The 27272-nt window shown below is 43.1% G+C and overlaps 1 protein-coding gene and 1 long non-coding RNA gene across 6 annotated transcripts in view, besides 2 other annotated features; both read right to left on the reverse strand.

Annotated features, from left to right (window-relative positions):
- NEDD9 (neural precursor cell expressed, developmentally down-regulated 9) overlaps positions 1 to 27272 on the reverse strand; it is a 199051-nt gene that overhangs the window by 35353 nt on the left and 136426 nt on the right. For 3 of the 5 annotated variants that reach the window (NM_001271033.2, NM_006403.4, NM_182966.4), the window contains exon 1: positions 13854 to 14018. The exons of the other annotated variants lie outside the window; for them this stretch is intronic. In NM_001271033.2, the coding sequence (NP_001257962.1) occupies positions 13854 to 13865 (12 nt within the window). In that variant the 5' untranslated portion in view covers positions 13866 to 14018. Of the gene's footprint in view, positions 1 to 13853; positions 14019 to 27272 lie in introns of those variants that run through there. 5 annotated transcript variants of the gene reach the window in all.
- Positions 1211 to 12060, reverse strand: LOC124901256 (uncharacterized). The gene is made up of 2 exons (XR_007059449.1): positions 11789 to 12060; positions 1211 to 1339 (listed from the first exon to the last, which is right to left on the reverse strand). It is a non-coding gene; the product is annotated as an uncharacterized LOC124901256 (long non-coding RNA).
- Positions 13526 to 13575: a silencer, noted in NCBI's record as "silent region_16911". NCBI's record gives its function as "represses an Ori minimal core promoter by ATAC-STARR-seq in GM12878 lymphoblastoid cells {active_cell/tissue: GM12878}" and the evidence as "EXISTENCE:reporter gene assay evidence [ECO:0000049][PMID:35858748]".
- Positions 14056 to 14105: a silencer, noted in NCBI's record as "silent region_16912". NCBI's record gives its function as "represses an Ori minimal core promoter by ATAC-STARR-seq in GM12878 lymphoblastoid cells {active_cell/tissue: GM12878}" and the evidence as "EXISTENCE:reporter gene assay evidence [ECO:0000049][PMID:35858748]".

The following is a 27272-nucleotide window of genomic DNA, read 5'->3' on the forward strand; positions in this document are numbered from 1 at the left end:
CTCTGATTTCCTCATTGTCTGCAGGGAGGGTGAAATTGTTGTACTTAGAGAATTCAGCAAGACATTTGGTTAGAATTTTCAGATGGAAGTGGGGAAAATGAATGAACCAGAAAGAGAAATGTCATGTCCAAGTCACTCAAGCCTCACAGCCAGAGACTATGGGAGACAGACAGCAGGAAAGGGCCTGCCCCTCCCTATTTAAACAGGATAATGACGCAGATCGGGAGCCTGACCCCCCTGAAACTAGTGTTCGCAACTACGGAGCAAACAGGAAGGCCAAGAGGAACTGACCATCCCAGTGAGATTAAACACAATGGTCTCTTTTAAGAGCCTTTCTCCCTTCAGTGTAGCAATCTGCTTTTGGCACTAGGTGACAGAGCACCATTCAAACACTTTGCCAGACCACTTGGGTTCTGCTGTTCCTGGTTCCCAAGCTATGCCTGAGGAGTGGGAAGAAAATACTGTACAGTTGACCAGAACGCTGGTACAGAGAGCTCTAGGACACATGACGGCTTCTACCCCTCACCCCACCTCCAACTCCTCCCTGCCTTTTTTCCCTTCCCTCACTGCTATCAAAATGTCAAGAAAGCTTATTACTCCTATGTCAGAGAAACGATCTGCTTTTCCAAATACGGAGAGGTGTGACTTGTAGTTTCCATGACCACTCATGCGGTCGTTTGAAGAGAAATGAGACAGAATGTCTGGTGTATCACCCCACTAAGACTGATAGCATCATCAATGGCCCGGCTTCCTCTGATTATTTTTACTTCATTCTATATTTGTCATGCAGGGGATCCTGCCATGGCCTCAGGGTTGCCCCATTCTCAATGACATGATTTTCCTGTACCCAATCCCCCAAAACTTTAGCCTGGACTCTTGTGGGTTTGCATGCCTGCATGCGCAAATGCATGCATGCAGAGGACAGACCCTGAGAAACAGACACATTCAAGGAAATGGCCATCATCAAGGAAGTCAGTCCTAAGGCAGGCAGCTGAGGGATGAACATTGTCAAGGTCAGTCTCAGGGCACAACAGGGAAGAGAAAGAAAGGCTCACGTGCTTTTGTGCATACTGACGAAAACCGGCTTTGGTCTGAGAACTGCAAACCATTTTGGCTACATTTCTCCTTTCCTTCCCACCATCACCTTTGGGATAGAGGGGGATGTGGGCTTTCCCCAGAGAAGGAAACAGCCATAGTCAGAAAACATGGATATCTGTAAGTGTCAGGATTTTAATTCTCAGAATACTTGGTTTACACTTAGGTTCTTGCATCTGAAGATCTGGAATGTCGAATTTTTTGAGTTGGTTCCTCTTGAGATTATGAAGTCACAGGCATGAAGCTTTCAATACAGGAGACAGAAGATATGATAAGTTATGATATAATATAAGATATGCTAATTTTTTCCCAGTACTATTTGTCGACTGTGTTCTGACACACTTTTCACTAGGTGAGCTGAATGGAGCTCACAGAAAGGCAAAAGCAGGACCCCACTTTGTCCCACTAATCCCTGGCATCCTTCTGCCCACTGCTGAGAGGTGTTCAACATTTCCCACAAGGCCTCCTGTGGCACCCAGACTGCATTTCAGGCAGTAATTTTTATTTTCTGGGAAGTGCTTCTTCTAGACCCCTATGACAGTTACAAAGCTTATAGGAGTATCTTGGACCCCCCCGCCGAATCTTGACGTCATTCACTTTGCCCCGAGTCCTCAAGTTTTCTTAGATTTTCCAGCTTTGTGAACTTTAGCTATAGCATTCTCTTTTGAGCATGTCTGAGTGGGAGAAGGTTTGAGAAATGTGACATTAAATACTTGCCTCCCGAAGGTACTCTTTGACATGGCAAGAGAAGCTGTTAATACTCCCTGGATGTGCTGTGGGGCAGCGCCCTGTGTGTGGTTGTAGATCCAGGGCTTGGAATCTTAACATCTCTTCCACACTGGCCAATCCTGTCTGATGAAGGATCATTTGGAACCCAGCACTATTTTGGTGGCTCATATACCAAAGTGAAGTTACTTTTTGAGGACTGGTGAAAAGATCTGATGCTCACTGCAAATTTGGATATTTGGATCTCAGAAAGAAATCTCTCTCTGACCAGATTTGGTAACATGATATGGACAGCATAGCTGTGCAATTACAAAGGGGTTCCTCAAAAGCTGGGTTCCTCTCCTTCCCCATACTTGAATGAATGCCATCTATTCTTGCTTGATTTAGGGTTCGTGCTGGACAGACACATTCATATGCTAGGATTTGTTTACTATGTAACCAACAAAATCTTAGGGCAAAGAGTTAGTAGGCAGATTTGCATATATGTGTGTATACGTGCAATGTCACAGTCAACTTCTATTATTTCCTGGCCCACGGTGGAAGATGAATTTGACTGCTGAGTTCTTTTTCACTCATCTGTGGTCTTTGGGTTTACCGAAGCAACTCCTGAGAATCTTAAAGAAGGTGGAGGCCGCGCACGGTGGCTCACACCTGTAATCCCAGCACTTTGGGAGGCTGAGGTGGGCAGATTGCCTGAGCTCAGGAGTTTGCGACCAGCCTGGGCAACATGGTGAAACCCCGTCTCTACTAAAATACAAAAAATTAGCCAGGCATGGAGGTGTGCACCTGCAGTTTCAGTTACTCGGGAGGCTGAGGCAGGAGAATTGCTTGAACCTGGGAGGCGGAGGTTGCAGTGAGCTGAGATCACGCCATTGCACTCCAGCCTGGGTGACAGAGCGAGACTCTGTCATAAAAAAAAAAAAAGAAAAAGAAAAAGAAAAAAAGAAGGGGGAAGAACACCTAGGTTTTTTATAGGTATTAGAACCAGAAGTCACCCATACCTTGACCAGAGTTGATTAGAGTAGAATTTCAGAGTAAGAAGGAACCATTCTAACCCAATCTCCTTATTTTACAGCCCAGAGGGTCTCAGATTAGCGGCAGAGCCAGAGCTAGCATCTGGTTCACCTCTTAATCTAGAATTTTTCCCCACCGGACAAGGATGCCCTTCCTGAGAATCTTCTCCATCTTAGAAGTCAGCACTGTTGCTATTAAGCCTTGGAATCTCGAAGCATTTGTCCCAGGTTGCCTGATTTTGATAGATTTCAGTACAGTATCTTGGCAAGGGGTCAAAAATGCGGGGCAGGCACAAGCTGTTTTCAGGGTTCTGTCTGTAGATAAATCTGACAGGCACCATATAATGATGAAGGCCTGACACCCACCCACCCACAAGATAGATTTTATTAACAATAAAACAACCATCTGGATTTCAGCCAGCATTACAGTGTTGGCACTGGATCATATCTATCTGCCTGTCTAGACAAATCCCTCTAACATCCAGGTACTCAGGGAAGAGAAATAAGAATTAAGTTTTAATGGAGTAGGAGACCCCAATCTACTATATTACAATATACTTCCAAAAATGATGTCATTTCTCAAAGTCAAAATGCACAAGTTATAACATCTGATAAGGTGTTTGAAAGAAGAAAAAGAGGTTCCTATTTTTCCATTCCTGTCTATCTTATCTTCCTTCACCAAGCTATGCAGCCCAAGGTTATATCTAAACCCACCAATACAAATGCATACACATCCTGGCAACTGTTGTCCATCTCCCAGCCAGAACCGAGTTGATGTAAATAGGATGCAACCCTCCCTGGAACTCTTTTAGATGTCACTTGACCTGGATTTGGTGCCTGATTGGTATTATCTACTTCACTTGTGAGGTCCTCAGAGAGTTTTAGAAAACAGATTCACACACTTGGCTGAGAGGTGTTTACAGTCATACACTGTCAGCAATGCAGCCACTAAGCTGTCTCAAGGAAGAGTTTTTGAAGCTGCAGCTTCTTAGTTAGAAGACAGGGAAAAGGTGGCAGGAGCAAAGGGAACAAAAAACCTTCATTGTGAAATTGTTCAGTGCCGAGGTGGAGAGACAAGCTCTTACACGCACATGTTATACACCAGTTTATGAGAATAAAATAGCTTTCTTAAAGACCCAGCTCTAAATGCATGTTCCATGATGAGGTACATATTGTAGAGAGAGAAGCCAGAGAAATACTTTAAAGTTGCCTTAGAGATGGTTTGATGGGTTTTACATTTGACTTGAATGAAACTCTGCGCTTCTTAGTATTTTGTGGTATTCACTGAAACAAACTGGGGCTAGGCCTGTAAGAGGAAGTTGCTTTTTGGTTAGGACCTGTTACATTAAGCTCAATATCAGTAATGATAAAATTATGGCAGTCAGTTCTATGGGGGTATTTTTGAGTAGGGCAGTTATTTTTAAGGAGAAGGAGTAGAAGAGATTAGACCACTGCTTCTCAACTAGGAGGATTTTTGTCCCCTCTGGGTACGGGCAATGTTTAGTGGCATTTTTTGGTTGTCACTGTGTGTGTGTGTGCATGTGCACATGCATGCACACGTGTGTTACTGGCATCTAGTGGGTAGAGTGGCCAGGGATGTTGCTAAACATCCTACAGTGTACAGGACAGCCCCCACCACAAAGAATGACCTGGCCCTAAGTGTCAATAGTGCCAAGGTTGAGAAACCCTGGATAGAGGAATGGACACCAGACTGAATTAGGAGGGTCTAGCTTCAGACTTCACATTTGAAGACTAATGACCATCAAATCTCTGCCTTTTGTGCCTCTGTTTCCCTGTCTGCAAAATAAATATTAATAGACATGTTCTTCTTTATAAAAATATGAGGAATCATGAGATTATTTACTCCAAATGCTCTGATTTCTTCAGGAAAAAGAGTCTCTATAAAATCAAAGCACAGTTATTATTACTGCGCCAAGATGAGCTCATGAAATTGTGTCTTAAGAACTGTACTCCTCCCCTTGGAAAAAAAAACTTCCTCTAGGAAAAAAAAACCAACAAAACAAAAAACCCAGAAATGATCTTATCATGATTACACCTGCCACACCAAAAAACAGACACACTTCAGAGAAATGAAATTCTTTCCCTTCAGCAATGAACTAAGCTGAGTCTGTAATTAAGATCTTAATAAGGGAGGCAGGAGGCTTGATTCAGGTGCTGCGGGCTATGAGGCGAGAGCGCCCATGCCAGGTTTAAAGCAAGAACAATTGGATGCAAATCCCCCGCACTGCTTAACACTCTCAGGTGTTCCAAACAAGTTCTTATTTCAAAATGGGCATGGCTTTATTTCTAAAGATGCCTATTTCTGCAAAGAAAAGGAAAGAGAGCACCTTGTTATTTACAAGTCAATGAAAAAAAAAGCACAACATCTTAGACAGTTTCCTGCAAAAGGCTGCTGTAAGGGAGATGGGATAATGCCTTCGACAGTGGATTAATCTCAGGAGCAGCCCTTGATGACAGTCTCTAGAGTGACCATGTGCTTCCGGACTCTCCCAGGCAGTCCCCAGGTTCAAATATCCTTCCCTTTGTCAGACCATATGTCCCATTTTTTTGGTTTGTAAAACATGGATACATACTCACAAAAAAGAAATATTTTTGAAACCAACAACAAAGGATGGGAATGTAAGTATATTTCTTGATTATGGATCTGCCATGGCTGAATTTCGGATTTGGGAGAAAAAGAGCTAGGCACTGATAAGAATCTTAAATTCAATCAACGTTATGTGTTCTCTAATTGACAAGGTGATGTCTGTAAGGAAATGAGATCGATTCCAGTGCCTCTGGGCCTCTGTGAGATAGCCTAGAAGTCCAGCTCCACAGTGACAGGGGTTATCAAGAGAAAGGAGGCTGTCGGGCTGCGTTCATTTCTGCTATTCCCTTCCTTGAACCCATTTAAAGGTGTGCTTGTCATGCTGGGCTCTGAGTGGAGAGGGTCAGGGAAGCGGAGATAGCACTGGACTTCTGCCCCAGGGGAGCATGCAAGGGAAAGAGGGCTCAACATTTTGCTAGGCCAATGCTGCTGTGGTAGTGCGACTGTACCACAGGTCCACGAACCCATTTCCTGCCAAACTCTCAGTCATGCCACAGTGACTAGTAACAAGAACGAAAGAACAAAAGGAAAAGAAAAAAAAAATCTCATCGACAGATGACTGATGTGTCCTGACACTGAAGACTCAGAAGTAGCTGGAGTGTCTAGAAGTCCACTTACTGCCATTTTCTGTGTGCTGGCTTTGCCTGTTATGGTTATTTTGGGAGGCGGAGGGTGTTGGGGGGCAGAAAAGCCCAGCTCATTCTTAAAGAGTCCTCTAGATGAGTCCTCAGTTAGCCTCATCTCCTGTGGGAGTGAGGCATTAAATTAAGGAAAACAAGTGGACTGTCATGAATCACTGAGATTAAGGCTAACTCATAGTTACCAAGAGATAGCACAGTGTTTCTGCCTGACCAATAAAACCTAGGAAAAACATGAATGACATATACTATCTAAATGCACAATGCCTTAAGAAGTAGACAGGAGATCTGGTTCAAATCTGAACTTTACACGTGTTTTGGTTACTGCAACTTTCTACTGGGTTTCACAGATAATTAATCCATCCACCGCCCCCCTGCCCCCCAACCACACATACACACAGTAAAAAAAGGAATTCAAATTAATTTCAAAAGGGCTATCAAATATTTTTGTTGCTTGAAATGGTTTCACTTTTACATATTTGTTGCTAAATCTTTGTTTCCTGTGGGCATAAACATAACATTTCATGTGAGGGACATTTTTAGTAACATCATATAACTATTACCTTGATATGTTAGACATATCAGGGGGAATTCTAATTCGCAAGACTGAGATTTGCAAAGAAACATGACACTTACAAATCACTGGATCCAGCCTTTGAATAAGGATCATGAACTACCTACTTAGACACCGTGTAAGCACCAGAAGCACTAGTAGTGGTTAGTGAGGGGATTAGGGAGAAAGAGACTAGCTGTTTTGTTTGTTTGTTTATTTGTTTGTTTGTTTTGTTTTTGAGACAGTCTCACTCTGTCGCCCAGGCTGGAGTGCAGTGGTGCAATCTCGGCTCACTGCAAGCTCCGCCTCCCGGGTTCAAGCCATTCTCCTGCCTTAGCCTCCCAAGTAGCTGGGATTACAGGTGACCACCACCATGCCCAGCTAATTTTTTGTATTTTTAGTAGAGACGGGGTTTCACCGTGTTAGCCATGATGGTCTGGATCTCCTGACCTCGTGATCCGCCTGCCTCGGCCTCCCAAAGTGCTGGGATTACAGGTGTGAGCCACCGCGCCCGGCCTTTTTTTTTTTTTTTTTTTAAAGAATAACTGGGATTTAATAGTCCATTGTGGGGCCCAGGAATATGTATTGGAAAACATTCCACTGGCAACTTTAATATCTCCATGACAGCTGCCTCCACTCCCTACGTCAACCATGAAAAACTGCTGTCAGCTCCACCACTATCCATATTTCTGGAGTGCCCGTTCTATCTTCCTCAAATTCACCTAGATCTCATTGTTTGGTCAAACTGTCTTCAAAGAGAGTCACCCTTTCCAATGAAGGGTACAAAAGGTTACCAACAAGGTGACTTATCTTAAAATGCAGATTGTTCAGGAAAATAATCCTTTGCAGGCTGTCATGTTCCCTAGCTGTGTGGAATCCTCATTAGCCAGCAGGAATTACTGCAGAGAGATGGCTGGAATGTTCAAAGTAAATAAGATGGAGGGGGGTGTTGTTGGCAAAGTATAAACAGGGTTTTTTTTTGTGTGTGTGTGTCCCCTTTTCATGCCCGTACTCTTTGCAACCATCTATCACCTAGGAAACCGTCAGTTACTCTCTGGCATTTTAAGTTAGAAATATAGTATTTCTTCCCAATGGCCCTGTTTCATTTGTCTTGGCGAGAAGTCCTGGTAATTCAGCCTATATGTTCTTGCAGAGTATTGCCTTGGTCCTAGTGGTTGGCATTTCAAACCAATTTGTTCAGATTTCTTTCTGACCCTAAAATGATCTAAACATAGACAACCAAGACCTCTTACTTTACATTTATGTCATTCTAATTGACTGCAATTGGATAAGAGAGTTCACCCTGAACTTCTCATGTACTCCCAACTTACATTCTTTGGATTTTATCTTTGGTTTTTTGAATTGACGACTTTCTCTTCCTCACTGATATTTCTGTTATGGGTAAACAATTCTAGTGAATGTCTCCTTTAAACACTTTTATCTATATAAAAATTCCATATCTATATATCTGTATATCTTTGTGGGTATGTGTATATAACATCATATAATAGCTGCCATTTATTAAATGCCTAATATCTGCTAGAAAGGACAATTGTCATATATTATATCCTATAACTATCTGACAAGACAGGTATTATTCTCATTTGATAAATGAGGAAAAGAAGGTTTAAAGTAGCTAGCATAAAACTATACTGTTAGAAAGTAACAAAAGTGGGATCTGAAACAAAGCCCATGTTTTTTGTTGTTGTTGTTGTTTTTTTACTATGCCATATAGTATTAAGATCCTCTTAAATGGCTATTTGTGTATACATTTTGTCTTCTATGAGCAAAGTCTTGTAATTTCAGGAATACTGAGTCCAATGAACAATAATGAAGGAATCAAGTCATTAGTATATTAGCAAGTGGGGTCATATGCTGTTAGGGCCCTATGCTTACAATACACATCCAGGCCCACAGAATACTCAACAATATTCAACCATCTCAACCTAGTAACTGGGATTTTGACATAATTCTGTCACCAAGTCTTGAGTACATACCATCCTTTCAACATCTATTGAGCATCTACCATACAAAGAGAGCTGGAGCCAGCTTGCATTGTCTGCTTACTATATGCCAAGAGCCATAGTAAGTACTTCATTCATATATTATCCCAGGTCTTCGAATAGTATGAGGCAGTTATTCTTATCCCTATTTTACAGACAATGCTGTAAAATGAGGCTTAGAGAGCTTAACTTGCCTAAGGTCCAGAGCTATAAGCCATAAGGAACAGAAATGCCTTTCTTCAAAGCCCATGCTCTATCATGTCTCTAACACAAGAGCATAAAACACCAAGTCTTGGCCCCCTCAAAACTTCACAGACCCTAGATCATGTTTTTTATTCAAGGACTTTTCGATCAATCTGCCTCTACATACAAATAGAGGGTGGGTCTCTCATATTCAGTGGGGTTTACTTAAAACTAAACAGGCCCAGTAGGCAACCTATCTGAGTTACAGGTATCCTTTAGATAACGATTTGATTGAAAGAGGTCAATAAGTAAGGTAGTGCTAACAGAGTAGGGCAGAGGTGAAAAGCATAACAGCCTATTTTAGGGATTATAGGATGGTCCAGGAGACACAGGTTTCAGAGTTTGATTGTTTAAACAGAGTGGATGGATGAGGAGACTTTACTAGCGGGACTGACAGGCCACTCAAGTCATGTAAACGCAAACAGAGAGGCAGATGAATGGGGGCAGTGAGGGACCAAGATTTCCCATAGCAGAGTCTAAGGAGAAGGAAAAATGAGGGCTACAGAATGTGCATTAAAAGTGTCACATCTGTGTGTGGGAGGCAAGGGGGCGGCAGTAGATAGGTGCGGGTGGGGGGCTGGGGAGTAGGGGGTTGGAAGTAAGATCTACGGAAGTCAGTATTAAAGAAGCGTAAGGAAAGCCTGAAAAGAAGAAGAAGAAGATAAAAGGAGAACCAATGAGGTCATAAAAGCACGAAAGTGGGAGAGAATTTGCAAAAAGGCCGGGTGCGGTGGCTCACACCTGTAATCCCAGCACTTTGGGAGGCTGAGGCAGGTGGATCACCTGAGGTCAAGAGTTCGAGACCAGCCTGACCAACACAGTGAAACCCATCTCTACTAAAAATACAAAACTTATCCAGGCATGGTGGTGGGCACCTGTAATCCCAGCTACTCAGGAGGCCGAGACAGGAGAATCACTTGAACCCAGGAGGCAGAGGTCGCAGTGAGCTGAGGTGGCACCACTGCACTCCAGCCTGGGCGACAGAGTGAGACTTGATCTCAAAAAAAGAAAAAAAGAAAAGTGGAGAGGAAGGTGTTTTTTTCAGAAGACTGGAGTGAAGGGAGAGACAGGGAACCACTGAATTCTGAGAACAGGGACTGACGTGTATCCCAGCAAGGAAAGGATGCTAAAGGAATCCTTGGCATGTTACGCACTGTACAACTTGCTAAATTTGGTATTATCAGGCACCTTCAGTACTCTAAAGGCTTTTATCTCTGTGTAGGTAAGCCATTTAGCTCTGCAAATGGGTTTACTAAATAAATAAATAAATGCATAAATACATAAATAACCAAGTTGATATTTTTCAAAGCATGTTTTAGTGATTTTAAATCCATAGATCTCATACAAGGTTTAAAAAGGAAAAGGACAGGAGTCCTACATTTGGATTGGTTGCAAAAATCATACAGAGAAAAATAAAGCATTTTAAACCAAAATATCAAAGCAAGGAAATAATTGGGAATTTAATAGCTTATGCATGACCATATTGACTAAATTAAAGATCCTCTGTCATTATTTTCCTCGGTCTTGCTTGAGGAAATACGAATACTTTCAAAGTCCTTTCCAAAGCGTTTCACGGCACACAGGTTCTCCTTTCCCTGACCTACCCCATTCAACCAGAACACAGGACTCTGACTTTCAGAATGCACCTTTCTTAATGGCATTGTAAGTTCCGTCTGTAATTTTTCTTCAGTCAAAACGTTAAAGAATGAATTTGTTGCATGGTAGACGAGATAAATAATTTAGAATTTTAATGTAGGCACGTAAGGGCTCAGAAATTTGGCAAAGCCACAAAAGCGTCTCTGCTCAGCCATTAGCAGCCAGGCCAAGGGGCCGCTGAGCCCCCGCCCGGGCTGGGCCTGAGGTGGGCGGGGCCTCGGGCCTGGCAGGCACAAACGGGGTGGGGTCTCGGGGGCTTCTGCTCAAACACAGCTGCGCAGAGACCCTTCCATCACCCTCCTGGGAAACAGCACAACCATACACCTCCAGACCCTCAGGAGGGAGCCTTCACTGGGTAAGCAAACCAAGGCCATCGAGGCAATCACCTAACCCCGCCAGCCCCCGCCCAATTAAGAACATGCTCTGTATATGAAGGGGATTTTGTAGAAAATTCTTAATAAATGAAGCCCCCGTAATTTACTATCACATAACCACAGACTGAATCCCTTCTAAGAGAAATGGAAAATTAAGTACGTATGACAGTGACTGCAACCTTCCTGTGGACAAATAAAAACATACAGGGAAATAAAGACAGATTAGATAAGTGCTAACCAGAAATGTCTGTCCGGAGTAATAGCTTACATTCCACAGTTCTCAGGATTACTGCAAGTACCTTGCTGCCTGGCCTGAAGCTATGTATATTAAGTGCAAAATAAGTGAAGGTTTGTTGTTCCGTAGTTGTGATCCCTGGGGCAGCCAAACCAGATAATCAGGTTAACAACGACAATCTTATAGGGCCTGATTCATAAGTCTTTCAGTAAACATTTTAAGGTTTGTGCTAAATTTACAGTGCATAGAGCAACGTAGTATTTTAGAGATAATTCCTGTCTCTGGGATTTTACCATCTAATAATTATCTGGTTTTACTACCTAAGTGGCTCGAATTAAACAAATAACTGCCAAACATGCACTTCATTTTGCTTTGTAGAGTTACTATCTTAAAAAGAAATTATCCTGCAGGAATACTTGGGATGAAATAGTCTTAAACTTTCTGGGAGAAGAAAACACTGGCCATATTTTAGAGAGGTCAACGATAGCTCTTTCTCTTTCTCTTAATAGTGGTTAAAGTCATGAGTTCTGGAGCCAGATCGCCTTAGTTCTAATCCCAGCTCACCACTTTCTAGCTGTGTGGCATTAGATAAATTACTTAGCCTCTCTGTGTCATTTGAAATTGAGTATAAAAATAATACCCACCTTGTAGAGCTATTGGGAGAGTTGAATATGACAATCTTGTGTTGTCACAGTAAGTCTCAATTAATGTTACTTCATTACTTTTGTGTCTCTCCTCTACTTACAATAACAAAATCCTTTCCTGAAGTAAAGTTGTTCATTATTAACTAGAGAGAAAGAAAACTTTATAAAAAAGGAAAGTGGATTTCTTCAGCTATTGGTTGATTTAATAGTCATCATAGGGCATAAGTCATGTGTTCGGTCGGAGAAGTTAGCTTTTTTGCTGGTGAAGGTGCCTACAAGGTAATAAAAATCATGTATTTACATCATTTGGCAAGGTGTTCAACACCAGTAAGGCCCAGTGGAGAAGCAGGTTTCTCCATGAATGCCAATCGCAGTTTACGCTGTCAGTCACTTTATCAGTTGCCTTTAGATTTTCTTTCCATAAAGAGTAAAGCTAACCACGATGAGATCATTGAATAAAAGTGACTTGAGACTTTGTCGCTTTCGTCACTTTCTAGATTATAGCACTCAATGTTAATTTCAGCCATTTATACTTTCCAATAATAGACATATGAACATACTTTCTCTTTTTTCTGCAAGCCAGTTCTTATTCAACAACAGGGAAAGGAGGAGCAAAAAAGTCACTCCAGGCTGAGTAATATCTGGTCCTATCATTGTTCTAAATAAGGAAATATGGGGTGAGCCACTTTAAGGAAGATAACTTTCCTGCCAAGTAGAGGGATTTGTTTCTGGTTGCATCCTAAAGTCAAATATTAATAGTCTTCAGGATGACCCTTTCCTCTGATCTTCCCTACTGATGAAGATAATAGAAAGCTGATGAAACAGAAATAGCTGATACCTGTGTCTTCAGACAGTGGTAACGTAGGCATTACTATAAAGACTTTTGACATTTAGACTTAAAGCTTTTGAATAAGATTCATAGTTTTTGAACAAAAGCTTTATTACTGAGGCTAGTCAGTGGCTATCAGTTAGACCAAGTATTTACAACCTTACATCAAAAAAGGATGGACCAGAAAAATTTAGAAAAAAAGCGAAGTAGCTTCCAGCTAGTGTACAGTTAATATAAATTGTCAATCCACAAGCCTAGCACCCTTGCCCAAATCCATCTTAATAATAACACTTTTGTTTAAAATAGCATAAAATAAAATAGTAGCACTAGCACTCATGTCTATTCATCATTCAAGAAAAATTCATGTCCAATTCATTGCAGTCTGCTTTCTTTGTGTCCCCTGGAAGCTGCTTGCCTCCTTAGATGGGAGTGACTTAAAAGAAAAAGGGGAGGGGGGAATATACGGAGCAAGTCAAAAATCCTTTTGGCAAGAAAAATCCACAAACAATGGTGTAAAATGCATTGGAAAATAATGCTGCTGAAGTACTATGACTATGACACTCTGTAAGCTTTCAGGCACAATGAGCCAGCCTGAGCCTTCGCACTCTCACCCCATTCAAACTCCAATAAAAATGTTTTCAAGAAATGGCTCATACTTATTTATTCCTACATCCAATATAACATAAGGATGTCAAAATTTTCCATCCTCAGCTGTGTAATCTGGGCTTTTAATTTCTCCCACCAAAAGTGCATATGGCATACTCCTTCCGAGACCAAACGATTAAAGCAAAGTCTGGAAAACTTTGCACTAAGAGCCAGTCTGAGACAGACTATGCAGTCCTCATTCCTCTCATTACAGTTCCCCAGGGCAGTGGAAGCCAGGCCTGGGGAAGCCAAGGAGACTTGAGCCAATGCCTGCCGCGATTCAAGTCAGACACCCTCTGATCTCCAGTGGCTGCTGTGAAGCGGCTCCAAGTCTTAACTTCTCACCGAGGTATTTCCCCGGCAACTTTCAGAGCAGATGGACTCGGGTGTACTGTGAACCCCTGGAGTGGGTCTCAAAGACCGGGTCTCTGCTTGCTTGTCTGCTTGCATGTCAACCTCAGTGACCGAGACTCATCTTAGAACTCTCCGGGACACACAAGGGACTGACAGTAAGGAACACGCATACACAAGCACACACCCGCAGGCACAGCTTTCAGCTTGCAAGGTAACCTGTAAAAGGCACTCTCTTACCTTATACTTCATTTCGGCAGCGGTGGGTTGAGCCGTTTTCCTACACTAGTTAAGACAGCATTAAGCACTGCGGTGCCCGCCCCTCCATTGAGTGCAGCGCTAGATGAAAGCGAGAAGGTCCCGGGCAGAGCCGCTTGTCAGTCGCAGCGCCTCCCTCAAGTCTCTGAGCTCACTGTTGTGACTGAGGCAGGCTGATCGCGGACCTCATTTGCATGCCGCCCCGCCATTGGCTAGTGGGACAAGGTAATGCTCAGGCCCTGCCCACCCCTAATTCTGAAAAACTGACAAAGAACTTGTAATGTGATCGCTTCTTTTTGCTTTATCAGACGGTGGAAAATAAAACAGAAAGTGGGGAACCGTCCTGAACCTTACTCTGTCCTCCCGCCCCCGCCAAAAAAGAAGACAGAAAGAGAAAGAACAGGAAAAGGAGATACATTCTTTTTAAGATTAACCCAAATTTTAAAGAAACTGAATTCACAAAAGCAGTCTGACAGTCGCGCTTCCTGTGACCTAGCAACTCCTTCATAAACCCATTTCGTTTCAAAGCCATTCACCTCACAATCTCTACATGAAACGAACTCCGGGAACAAAAGGTTTTCTGTCTCCGGGCCCCTTTTTACTAACCACCCCTGCTGATACCTCTCTCTCTCTCTGTCCCTTTTTCTTTCCCCCTCCTCCCGCCTACTTTTTGTGTGTGTGTGACTGTTTGCTTTTTTTGTTCTTTTCAACGTTCAAAGTACTTTGCGATGTCAGTCTGCAAGGAGCTGGAAGACAATTCTCCCTTAGTGAAAAGGAACCCTCTAGCACACGCACCAGCGTTTTCCTGGACAGCTTCTCACCAGGGCCTCAGAGTTGCGGGTCACACATATTGAGCGACCTTCAGTGGCTTTGCTGAGGATAAAGGTTAGATGTGACCTCTCGGATGGGGTTGGCCAGTGCACGCCCTATACATCATCACCGTCCACTGAGTTCTGTGTTCTTTGACGGCTGGCATTTCTAGCTCCAGCTTTGAACACTGCAGTGTTTTTCCTTCTGACCTCTGTCCTGAGGATGACCCATTAACCCACCAACACTTATTATCCAGGAGAACGAAAATGCCCACTGTTTGATGAGCCTGGTTAAAAAGACCAGTCTCTCTCCAGCGAAGCACAGAACATAATTTCTATAAAGGTTCCATTTTAGGATTTCTATAGAGAAAGAGAATCACCCAGAAAACAGAAATGGTCACCTTCTGCAACTCTTCTCACGGACAGAGCAGTGAGGCGAAAAATTCCTTTTTCCCGGGCAAGACTGAGACTCGGTGAATCCAGACAATAGCTGTCCCTGAGTGGGATGCACTCCAACCAGACTACATGACTTGGATGGAAAAATCAGCCCTTATTTTTTTTTTTCCTGACCAAGTTGGATCAGAATCTGATTCCCTTCGCGTCTAACACACAAATTCCCAATGGATGAAAACTCTACTTTTATGATCTAAGCAAAAGGAATGAGAGAACAGCTGTCCTACAAAAGTGGTTTCCAGATACAGGGTTGGCAGGTTAGTTTGCAGTTCAGTGTGGCACTGATTCCAGGGACATGACCCCCCAGGCCATCCTAATGAGGTTGACATACCTGTTCCAGCCTGTATTAGGCCTTGCTTCTCCTCATTTGTCCTTAGAGCAAAAATAAGCCTGAGTGATTGTGCAAGGCCTTTCTGAACACAAATTAAGCACGCAGCATATTGCATTGTAACGATCTCCTTAAGAATCCTGCAGACTGACCGGAGAGTCGTTAGTTTGCAGGAAATTGTTTTTGGTGTCTACCTGGATAAAGGAGGACAATGATTCAAAGCCCTTCCCATCTGTAAGATGAGTCTTGCGGCCTCCAAGAGATCTAGATAACATTCCTTTGGCTTCCTAAGTGGTCAAGCTGAATCCTTTTTCTGTTTTGTTTGATGAATATCATTGAGTAAGTGAGTGCTGTCCCATCCTATTTTAATGTTTTCAAACAGTTTCCTAAAGTTTGTGCTGGGGTTTTTTTGTAATTTCATTCTCTAGCTAGTGGCCCTCCTGCTTTCCTGTTTCTGTCCTGTAAGGTAAGTAAGACACATGTAATCTACCCGAAGTTCATTTCAAGAAGGCTTGGGTCAGTATATAGTTAGCTGCCTAAAGGAAAGCACAAGGGTGTTGGAATCAGGTAAACCTGTGCTGGAACCTCAAAACATTTTTAATTTTTTTTTTTTTTTTTTTTGAGACAAAGTTTCATTCTTGTTGCCCAGGCTGGAGTGCAGTGGTGCAATATCGGCTCACTGCAATCCCCGCATCTCTGGTTCAAGCAATTCCCTCAGCCTCCCGAGTAGCTGGGATTACATGTGTCTGCCACCATACCTGGCTAATTTTTTGTATTTTTAGTAGAGACGGGGTTTCACCAGATTGGCCAGGCTGGTCTCGAACTCCTGACCTCAGGTGATCTACCTGCTTCAGTCTCCCAAAGTGCTGGGATTACAGGCGTGGGCCACTGTGCCTGGCCAGTTGAACTTCTTAATTTTGATGTCCTTCAGTATGAAATAGAGAAAATAATAATACCTGCTAGCCTCATAATGAGGATTAAATAAGATAATGTGGATAGAATTTAATAGTACTTGTTACATTGTAAGACCTTAAATGGTTGCTTGTTCTTATTACTGTTGTTATTAGTTATTATTTTAATTAATATCAGATTTATGATATTTTGTTAATATTTTATGACATTATTGCTATATTCTATAGATTATTATTTAATTATTGTATTAATTATAACTAGTATTAATATTAGACTACTGTTGATAAGTGTGGTAGGCATTCAGAAGAAGTTGGAGGAACCCCTTCTCTGTGTGCCATTCTTTCATAAGGCAGCTTTCTCACTGAACTGTTATCACTAGAGCACCTAGCATGTGCCAGGTACCTTTCTAGGAGGGGAGGATACAGCAGTAGCCCAGACAAAGTTCCCATCTTCATGGAGCTTACAGTCTAGTGAGAGTTGAGGAAAATAATTAAATGAATGTATAATATGATTTGCAGTGATAAATGCTATGAAGAAAAATTAAGCAGGGAAAATTGCTGGAGGAAAACAGACCAGGGTGGGACAGGAGGTGTATTATTTTAGATAAAGTGGTCAGGGAAGCTCCTCTGAGGAGATGATATTTAAGCAGAAATCTGAATAGTTTCAGGGATCCAGCCACTCAGAGATCTAGGGGATGAGCATTCCGGACAGAAGTGACCCAGGGGAAGGGCCCGCAGTAGGCACGAGCTTAGTGTGTCTAAGCGCAGCAAGCTGTCTAGTGTGCTTAGCGTGGGGTACACAGGGCTGGATGGAGAGGATGAGCTCAGAGAGGTAGGTGGTAGGGAGCTTGGATTTTTTTCCTGAGTGTGACATGAAGCCTCTGCAGTGTTTTGACCAGGGAGTAATCTGTTTCTCTCCGGTTTGTTAAACACTCAAGGACAGCAGGCTACTAGTTAAAATATTGAGCTCTGGTCTTAATGCAGCTTAAATAATGCAGATAGTTGTTACTTTATTAGTGTCATTTAGTATGTTGCCCTTAAAACTCTTCAGGGAAACACAAATTGTCTCAGTGAATACAGAAACAATTCCCTTCCTCATTTATTACTATCAGATGCAAAAATGATGTTTAAACTGGGCTATGTAATTGATTTATGCAGCAGCCCTAGGATTCCCATAGAGACCCTCCTGAAATTGGCTAGAACTCTGGGCCTCCGGTTCCACTTCCTGCACTTGCCAGCACTCCGGTGGGCATCCCCTCCTGTCATCCTTGCCGCCTGCCTGCTCTTCAACCAAGCACTCTTCCTTCCAGATGCTTGTGCAGGCAGGAGTGAGGGAAATGGCACCGGATGCCATTCTAATGATTTTCCAGCTGCAACTGGGCACTGGCATAAATACAGCAAAAAATCAAGAGGAGGCTAGAAAGAAGAAATACTTCTGTTGACAACTTGGAATGAACCCACGTGACTGCTCTCTAAGAGTGAAGGGCAAAGAGTGAAGAGCATGTGAGGGCAGGAAATGACTTTGGAAATCACCTAATCCAGCCACTCATAGAGAGGGCAGAGCTGTCTGTCGCTCAGAGAGATTGAGTGCCTCACACAGGGCCCCACCAGTTTGAGTTATAACAGCAATTGGTGGTGAGGTCAGGCCCCTGAATCTCTTGGTCTGGTCTATTCTAATGATTTCTTTTTAGTTTCTTTGCCTAACTCTCTCACTGCTGTCATCTATCTTCCACGTTGCTCACTACGTGTTTAATTCCTGGAATACAGAGTCGATCACATTACTACCGTGTTTAAAAACCTCTAGTGACACTTCAATGGCTTAACAAGCAAAATCTGGACACTTTGGCATGGACCACCATCTGAACCCACCCTTTCTTTCTCCCTCTACCGCCGACCCCCATCCCACCCTCTAGCCATACTTGGGAGTGTGGGGTTGCCGGGAACTTACTGATTCCAAGACGGACTTGCACCTTCCTGACTTGCACAGGCAGGCCCCTTTGCTGAGAATGACCCCCCTTCACTCTTCTGCTGTCAAGTTTGGCCTCAACACTAACCCTTTTGTGTATCCTTGTCTACAACCCCCACCCTGCCCACCTCGCCCTTTCAGAACTAATTCCTCCCTCCCTTCACTATGCCCCCATTGTACTGGAACACGGCCCTATTATAAGGGCTTTCCACGTTGTCTCATAATGATTTGTTGATGTCTGTTTCCCCAGCTCCGATGTGTGTTCTTGGGGAACAGGGTGGTATCTTGTTCATCTGTGTCCCCTGTCCTGTTGTATACCTTAGAGGTGCATAAATGCTTGCAGCATCAATGAGTAAGAAGATAAATGTAACTTCAAAGAACGTATGTTTATCATGAGGTTCTGTTTGGTGCCCAGGAAGGGAACAGGGAAGACATATTCCCCCGTGTGTTTGAGTTTAGCAGTGAGTTTTCCATTTATTTAAAATGGTGTTAGGATGCACCTTTTCAGAACCAACTCAAGGCCTGTTGCTAGTTCTGCATCTATGAGCCAAGAATAGCTTTTACATTTTTAAGTGGTTGGGAAAAAAACCAAAGATGAGACATGAAAATGATGTGAAATTCAAATTTCGATGTCTATAAATAAAATTTTATTGGAACACAGCCATCCCTATTCATGTAGGGATGTCTTTTGAGCTGTAATGGCAGACTCTGAGCACATGCCACAGAGATGGCAAAGCCCCCAAAGCCGAAGAAGAAAAAGTATTATTTGGTTGTCTCTAGAAGTTTGCCGACCCACACTCTAGATTAGTGCAAGGTACATCTATGCCTGAGTTCAGAATAAAGTATAGATCTTTCCACATCTACAGGGGAACAATCTGGAAGCTGAGTGAGTGCTAGACCAGAGGAACAAGCCCAGTCCTAAAAAGGAACCATTCTAGGGCCATGTTTTATCATTTCTAGTTTGACATTAGTTTTTAAAAACAATCTACATATACCAAGCTTATTTCAAAAATAATTGGAGGCAGCAACTTTTCCAGTCTTTTACAAGTCTCCAGAAACCTCCTCAAAGACCAGCCATTGAGAGTTTTCTCCTTCAATACAACTGACTCTTGGTTCATTCAGCCTTCACCGAAACCCTCCGAGGTGCCAGGCCCTGTGCCAGATGTTTACAAGCAGGAGTCCATTTAATATTCATCTCACGTAACAGCCCTGTGAGGTAGCTTGTATTGTTCTTACTTTACACTTCACAAAACCAAGACTGGAGAAGTTCTACAGCATGCGCCAACTTACAGGGTGATGGCCCATTTTGTTTATGAACCCAGGCTTTCTGGTTTCTGAGTCTGTGTGGCCCTGACCATGGAGCTATATTGCTGCCATTCTCTTCATATGAATGAATGAATTAATGCACTTCGTTATCTGAGCACATGTTTGTCCGCTCAATAAGGTCGAGTCTCCACCCTCGTGGGACTAAGCTCAACTGAGAAACAGGTATTGTTCTTGAGTTGTGAGGAGGGCTGATGCAGCCGTGTAAATACAAATGCACACACCCCTTACTCACGTGCACGTTGGAGCCTGTGCGTATGTAGTTCTTCTTTCATCACTCTGCCCCACTTCGTGGCTCTGCTTACCTACATCCTATCGTGCCTCCCGCTTGTACCCCATCTTCTTTATAAAACCTTTCCTAGAAAAATCTCTCCATTGTTGCTCTCCTCCCTCCAATCTTCCTCTGTATCTCTGGACTCCCGTCACCTGTGGCCTAAGTCTATGCTTCCCAAATCCAATTTCCCTTAAGAAACAATTAGAAATGCTTAGGCCTCTCTCCTTTAAGTATGAGCCGCAGTAGGCTTAGTATGAGGCTATGGAATCTACCCGTTTAAAGTGATCTTCATGGCTGTGTGCGGTAGCTCACACTTGTAATCCTAGCACTTTGGTTGGCCAAGGCAGGAGGATTGCTTGAGCCCAGGAGTTTGAGACCAGCCTGGGCAATATAGCAAGACTCCAACTCTACAGAAATAAAAATTAAAAAAAATTAACCAGGTGTGGTGGTGCATGCCTATAGTCTCAGTTACTTAGGAGGCTGAGGGGGGAGGATCACTTGAGCCCAGGAGGTCAACGCTGCAGTGTGCCATGTTTGTGCCACTGCACTGCAGCCTGGGAGACAGAGTGAGACCCTGTCTCTAAAAAAATAAAAATAAAAAAAATCTGCATATGCTCTCTAGTCAGTTTTATGTATATAACACACCATTTAGTGCTTGGTATTCCCTTACATGGTTTCTTTTGTGAGAGTTTCTTTTCCGCAATGAGATTTTGAGCAATTTATAGAAGAGGGTTCTGTCTTTTCTTTTGTTGTAGCCCATTTTGCACTTATGTAGGTGACTGAACCCCATCTTTTGTCCTCTCAAAGCCTGTGTCTTGTCTGTGCACACTGCCTTCACTGAATTCAACAGGGGGACAAATAAGCCACTTCTCAGAAGGCAAGGGAATGAGCTCCTCTCACTTCAAGGCAATAAACCTCTTTTATCTGTTGAACTGGTCAAGCTCTTGGAATGAATGAAAGTCTATTATTAGAGAAAAGCCCAAAAGAGTTTTAATGCTTGATTCTTTATATACTGTGAAATAGGGCTTTCATTCACTTTCCCTCCACTAATATTTTGGCACAAGAGACCTCATGAAGGCTACCCGACCTTACCCCGAACTACCTCGTTAGCAACAGTGTCCTAGGAATACATTCTATTTTCTGAAAGACTTGTTAAGTTCGTATTAAAAAAAATAATAGGCCAGGCACGGTGGCTCACACCTGTAATCCCAGCACTTTGGGAGGCTGAGGCAGGTGGATCATGAGGTAAGGAGATTGAGACCATCCTGGCCAACATGGTGAAACCCCATCTCTACTAAAAATACAAAAATTAGCTGGGCATGGTGGTGCACACCTGTAGTCCTAGCTACTTGGGACGATGAGACAGGAGAATCGCTTGAACCCGGGAGGCGGAGATTTCAGTGAGCCAAGATCGAGCCACTGCACTCCAGCCTGGGGACAGAGCGAGACTTCATCTCAAAAAAAAAAAAAAAAAAAAAGAAATTTGTTTCTGCAGATGGAGGTGGAGGGTAGTGTCTTCTAAAAAAGCTCCTTGACTCGTGATCCCTGAATTTCTTCTCATTTGGTTCCCTCCTAACTCATTTCGCTCTCAAGGACAAGCTGCCTGGGGTGGGTGGGGCGCTAGGCAGCAGAGAATGGAAGCAGTTTCTCTAGATCTTCTAGGTTACAGCGACGCGGTGGGTCTCCACACTGTGAAGACTTGACGAGGACCTGGTGCCTCTTACCACTTAGCTGAGCTTGAGCAGGCTGTCACTGTACAGCCCCTTACAACCACCACTCCTACTGAGCCCTCTTCCTGCTTCCTTCCATCTCTTTGAGGTGGCTTTTAATTATCCCAAGGGTGAAGCGCTAAAATGGGATGTCTTAGGCCCCTCTTAGTTCTTGATAAACCATGAAATAGAACACGTAAAACCGTGTCACTACCGTGCTACTAAAAACCTAGCCAGACCACCTTAAGTGGAGTGACTATGGCTAATATCTTAACTTGATGTTTAAAAAACTGTGCGATTGTGAAGTTTTGATGTTTAGTGTTATTATAACTTTGGAATACTTAATTACTACCTTTTTTTCTTCAAAGAATTGAAAAACGTTGACAGATTAAATTAGGTGTTAAATAAATTCACTCGACTCTAGTGAAATGTGACAAGCAATTGTGACGCTCCATTTTAGCATTTTCTTTACATGAAAGACTTGGATGAATTAACTTAAAGGTGAAGTGATAAGAAAAATTAGAAATGCATAAAGATTTAGGCTTATCTCCATAATTGTGCAAGGTTCACATTTCTACTATTTATGTGTCCCCAGCTAGGTAAAGGCATAGAGTTCAGTGGAACAAAAGGAGTTTAATAGTAAAATTGTGCAGGCTGCCTGGCAAAGCCTCTCTCTCCTGTTTTCTCTAGCCGTGAGGTGTTCTGTTATTACATGCTTTAGTTTGTCCAAATAAACAACTTGTTATATGAAACTGTCATGGAAATCTTTTCTGCTGATAGAAACTTCACACTGTGGATTTTTACAAAGGTTGAAGTGATCTGCCAACATCAAATAAACAGGAATGGACTCTCATGGCTGAAATGAGAGTGGCCGTCTCCTCTTTCCGGAGGCACTGCCCAAACACAATCATCTTGGTGCATACTACCTATTAAATGAAGGGGAGCAAAGGCATCAGGTCTTCTTCTTGCTAACCTTTGTGCTTCCTCTATATGTTCTTACATTTGAAAAGTCTTCCTGACTTCTCTGGCATACACTTTCTATGTGATGTCATGTGGTATAAGACATGATCTTTCCTACTTGCCATGGCATGACATCATGTGATATGATGCGACTTTGTAGCCCTCTTCCCCTCTCCACGTCTTGCTATTGTCTAGTTGGACTAAGCAGAAAAGGCTTATGGATTGTGTGCCCTAGCTTCCTAGATGGGCTGGATTTTCTGTTTCCAATCTACTTCCGAGCTTTGCCATTCTCCAGCGCACACTGGCCTCCGGAAGCCATCTTCCACACCAGCCATCCAGCATAGCTCCGGGGGCGGAGGTAGGGACAGTACACAATGGGGGAGAAGGGAGTGTTTTAAACACCAAATGGCCACTAGTAATGCCCAGGGTACCTCATTTCTTCAGGGGTTGGAGATGCATTTTCTCCCCCTTGTGCCTTAAAAGAGCCCAGCTGACCCAGCCCTCCAAGAAGGCCTCCCTCCCGTGCCCCGCTGCCCTCATCAGCTGAGGCCGGCCAATGTCCAGCAGGCCCCGGGCCCAGAGCCTCTGGCCTGTCCGGCCAGCCCAAGCAGCCGCCAGCTGGCGCTCGTGAGCGCATGAAAGGAATCCGGATAATACAAGGCCTGGTGGAGAGGCGGGTGAGAGGAATGTGGCGGGAACACAGCACACCCTGCACGGTTCAAGCCAAGCTTTTGAAGAGTTTGACTCGTTTTAGAAAGCAAACAAAGTGCTCCAGCTATCAGCAATCTTTTATTTTGTCTGCTAGAGGAATGCCTTGCCAGTGTGGGCCGAGGACTGGGTGGTGATAAAGACACCAGTGTCCACCCTTGACTTGCCGAACGGAGTATGGACGGAGCATTCCTTTCTGCCCACTGAGCCCGGAAATAAAGAGCAGCTCTCTTCTTTATACAAAAAGCCAAAGGGGGTCTGGCAATGAGCATGCACAAGACTTGAAGTCTCGCTCACTGGTACCCCTGAGCTTTACAGGCACTAAGTATAAGTTCTCTTAACTTGCTGAAGGCCTGGCACCCTGTGATTTCAGACTTGACGATGTAGACAAGGGAGTGTTGCAAGGGTGTTCTTGAACCCAGGGCATGCAGTTCTCCTGATTCATGCTCTAACCTGCTTTTGGAGCTTCTGGTCTTAGGAGGGGTGGAGAGTAGTGACAAGAAGAAAGGCTGTGCCCTCCTGGCCCTAGCTGATAGAGGCCATGTCTTCCCCCAGTTTTCATTTTGCCATCTTAAAATCACTCTACATTTTCAAAAGTCATCACCTGTGCAGTTCTGGTCACCAGGCAAAAAAAAAAAACTGTCTTTCCTTTTTATCCAGACAGCTCTGTGCATTTTTTTTCTCTCCTCTCAAGCCCACTCTGGGACTCAGCTCCCTAACCATCCCCTCTCTGATGTGCCCCCTAATCTTTCCCACCCTGCTCTCTGCAAGTAAGTTCTGGCCTTCCTCACCCTAAAAACAGATTCACAGTTCCTTGTTCAAAAACCTGGAGGCCAGATGAGCTTGTGGAATTCAGAATATTTCAGATTTTAGAAAGAGATTTAGAGCATATACCACATATTACAAGACACTCCCAGTGAAATCCATGGCTGTGTCCCATGAGCAAAGGCATGCATGTTTCAGCAATTGAATCTACAAAGAGTCATGCCAAGTGGGTAAAAGAATACATATCACTCAGGCCAACTCCAATCAGGCTGTGCTGCTGAGTGAGCTATCAAAATACTCCAGATTTTTACATTTTGTTACTGTGGATGAGCAAATATGAGCCACAAACAACATTCTCTGGGTCTTCAGGATCTTCCCTTTGCCACCTCTCCTTCCCCAACACTGACCAAGTGCCCTCTATCTTTCACTTGCCATGACCAGAGAGTGGGTGGTCCAGCATCCTGGCCTCCTGCTCAGTCCTCCAGGCATCTGCTTCTGACCCCTGTTCCATCAATAACCATCAAAGCCATTGATGCATAGAATAGGAGTAGTGTTGAAATTACTAGAAAAAAGAAATGAAAAAGACTGGCAAAATACAAGCCTTGATGATGATGATGATGATCATGATGATAATTGAATTCAGCTGATAAAAAATCACTCTTGTCTAATGGCTGTCAGAGCTTCTAAGCACTAGCTCTCAATTTCTGCACCTACCTGTTGGTGGGCCTGTCCAGTGTGTGGCCTGGTGCAGGTCTGCAGAACACATTTTGAGGAGTCCTGCTCCAGGGGAACCCCCAGCCTCCATTGTCCAAGCCGGGGACTCTTCTCTGCCTGCCAACTCTATGATCTCCCCTCAACTCCTGAAACTCCTTGTTATTTCCCCTGTTATGAAATCAACTCCTTCGGTTTCCAAAGCAGTGGGCTCTTCTGGTTCTTCTACTTCTCTTGCCAATGTGTTTCAGTCTTCTTTTCAGGAGCCTTTCTTCAAGGTTCCATTCTCAGCTCCTTTTCCTTGTGTATTTTCTCCCTTATCTATCTCATGCTCTCCAATGACGTCTACTCTGATGACAATCACATCTCCCAACCTGTGTTCTGAGTTCCAAGCCCTCATTTTCTACTGCACCTAAATATTCCAGAGGCATGTCATAAGCTCCTTATAGTCAAATATTGGGATGATTAATTTTATGTGTCAACCTGGATAGGCCATGCATGCTACCCAGATATTTGATCAAACACTAGTCTAGACGTTGCTGTGAAGGTGTTTTAAAGAGGAGATAACATTTAAATCAGTAGACTTTGAGTAAAGTAGATACCCTCCACCATGTGGGTGGGCCTCATCTAATCAGATGAAGGCCTTCAGGGAAAAGAGACTGAGGTTCCCTGAAGAAGAGGGAATTCTGTTCCACCAGCCTTCAGACTCAAGCTGCAACATCAGCTCTTCCCAGGGTCCACATGCTGTGGGTCTACCCTGCAGATTTTGGACTTGGAGACAACTCCTTGAAAACAAACCAATCTTTTACTCTCTTTCTCTTTACACACACACACACACGTGTGTGCACGCACACACACACATAGATACACACATGTCCTGGAGAACCCTGATTAATACACCTATGAATGATAAATTCCCTTTAAAACAGTGTCTGTTTTAAACCATTCTCTTTCTATTTATGTCCCTACCAGTCACCTAGAATCAAAACCTCAGACTGATCTTTTATTTCTTTCTCCCACCTACTTCCCACATCCAATCAGCTGCCAAGGCACATCAATATTTAAATATCAATATTTAAGACATAAATCGCCTCCTTTTCATTCATCCACAAAGGGAGAGTCCCAACCACCACTCAGGCCTGATTGGTCATAGAATACATCCTCTTTTCTACAGTAATTAATCTGAGAACTTGACATGTAACTCAGAGTCAATCCAAGATCTTTTTGAGATTTGTATATGAAGCCTGGGAGAGAGACAACTTCTCTGTCTTTGGATCATAGACTGTAAATGTTTGCTCGGTGGTGAATATGTTTTTCTCCTTGTAGAGAGAGTCAATAGCAAGAGAGAATGAGTCCATGTGCAAAAAGAAGCAAAGGCATTTAGAGTGGAGAGATGGAGAGAACCCTAATCCTGTTGTCTGTGCCTCTGGATCTAGCCATGCCTGAAGTCTACTCTTAGACAACTCAGTTCAGAAGGCCATAAATACACCTTCCTGACTAACCTAGTATAAGTTAGATTTCTTTTACATGCAATGACAGTGTGCTGACTAACCCTCTACTGGAAAGTATTTTCCTAGAAGGCAAAGACTATACCTTATTCCTTTGCACCCCCTGTGGCAGCACATACAGGGTCTTGGAGATTATAGGCACTCAGTCAATATGCTGTGTTGAACTCCCAGCTTATCTTTAAGGTATTAGCTACATTGTGAACTTGTGTGTGGGAGGAGAGGGAGACATGACCAAAAGGAGCATTTTCTGTGGCTGCTATGATGGCAGAAATAGAAATGAGACTTATGTATTAGGAACATTCCAGGGTGATGGTGGTTTGAAGCATGGTGACCCAAAGGCGAAGCAGATCCACCCTTTTATTTCAGGTTCATTGATTTTAATCCACAGCTTTAACAATGAAAGGAAAAGCAACCCATATTTTCACTATTATGTGTGTGATAGCGGCAGTGTTTTGTCTACCTGTAGATCTGTATAAATATTTATATTACATTTCCTTGCCAGTTAACTAGTACTTGTTAATCCCTGCTGAGATTTCATTCACCCATCCACCAATACTTACTAATTGCCCAATATAATGCTAGGCACCTTGGGAGCTACAAAGATGAATAATACCTAGAGGCTGCCCTACTTCTTAAATACCTATTACAGTAGCAGCCAACGCGGCTGCAGGAAGATAAACTTGCGTTGGGGGAAAAAAATCACACCGTAAAGTTATGTAAGTTTCTATTTTAAAATCATCTGGTTCTAATTTACTAAATTTAATGCTTTAGAGCCAATGCCAAAGTGCTACATTTGATTTGTGGAAATACTTTAGCACATTTTTCCATCGTGCTCTTGTACAATATATTTACCACCCTTTTGTTATGGTTAGAAAGATTATGGACCTTAAAAAAAGCCCTCTTTATGAGCTTGCTGATATTTTGTCATAAAATGCCATAAGATGGAATAAGTCTAGTAAACAATAATATTCACTTA

This window comes from Homo sapiens, chromosome 6 (genome assembly GCF_000001405.40).
Source record: "Homo sapiens chromosome 6, GRCh38.p14 Primary Assembly".
Taxonomy (NCBI): Eukaryota; Metazoa; Chordata; class Mammalia; order Primates; family Hominidae; genus Homo; species Homo sapiens.